The 899-nt window shown below is 41.5% G+C and overlaps 1 annotated feature.

Annotated features, from left to right (window-relative positions):
- Positions 630–899: an enhancer, noted in NCBI's record as "active region_6715". NCBI's record gives its function as "activates an Ori minimal core promoter by ATAC-STARR-seq in GM12878 lymphoblastoid cells {active_cell/tissue: GM12878}" and the evidence as "EXISTENCE:reporter gene assay evidence [ECO:0000049][PMID:35858748]".

An 899-nucleotide genomic window follows, 5' to 3' on the forward strand; every position in this document is an offset into this window, starting at 1 on the left:
TTCTCACCTCAGCCAACTTTTTCTTCCATATAAAAAAGATGACCTGGTACACCATGTAAAGTTCTGCCTACTGGGAGATTATTTTTGAGCTACTGTATTTCAAGGTTACTACTGTATTTCAACCATGTACTAAGCTGACCTCTTTCCTCCTTTTTCAGCGAGTCATAGCTGCATATGGCTATAGATGTGAAATGACAGGGGAGTGCTGAAGAAACTATTGTGAGTCACATGGGGGCCTATCTGCTCATAAAACTTAACTCATCATCTCTACTACTTACTGCTCATGTTTTATCCTGATTGTACCATTTCTACTTTATAATGGATGCAGCTAGATTTCCTCAATTTAATGACTTGGTAGGTCATTATGATACCTCCTCTATGGCTTGGGATAAATTCTACACTGCATCTTTTCTACCACTGATGACAATAGCACCATCAGGTCTTTCAGACTACCTGACCTAATTGTGTGATTGATTATATTACATTCTGGATCTGCTGCAGAGCCCTTTTGTACTCAAGGTTCTGCATAAAATTGGCAGCTTTTTATGTCACCCAGTCTGTGAGCCAGAGGAGTATTCCTAGATGTGTTGTCATGAGAACCCAAAGAGACCTACTTGGCACCAGGCTTTGTTCTTGCAATAGAAGATGCATGATATGGTTTGACTGTGTTCCCACCCAAATCTCATCTTGAATTGTGGTTCCCATAATTCCCACATGTGGTGGGAGAGACTCCTGTGGGAGGTAATTGAGTCATGGAGGTGGTTTCCCCCATGCTATTCTCATGACAGTGAGTAATTTCTCACAAGATCTGATGGTTTTATAAGGGGCTTCCCCCTTCACTTGGCTCTCATTCTTCTCCTTCCTGTCACCATGTGAAAGATATGCTTGTTTCCTCTTCT

The sequence above is a fragment of the Homo sapiens genome, chromosome 12 (genome assembly GCF_000001405.40).
Source record: "Homo sapiens chromosome 12, GRCh38.p14 Primary Assembly".
Classification (NCBI taxonomy): Eukaryota; Metazoa; Chordata; class Mammalia; order Primates; family Hominidae; genus Homo; species Homo sapiens.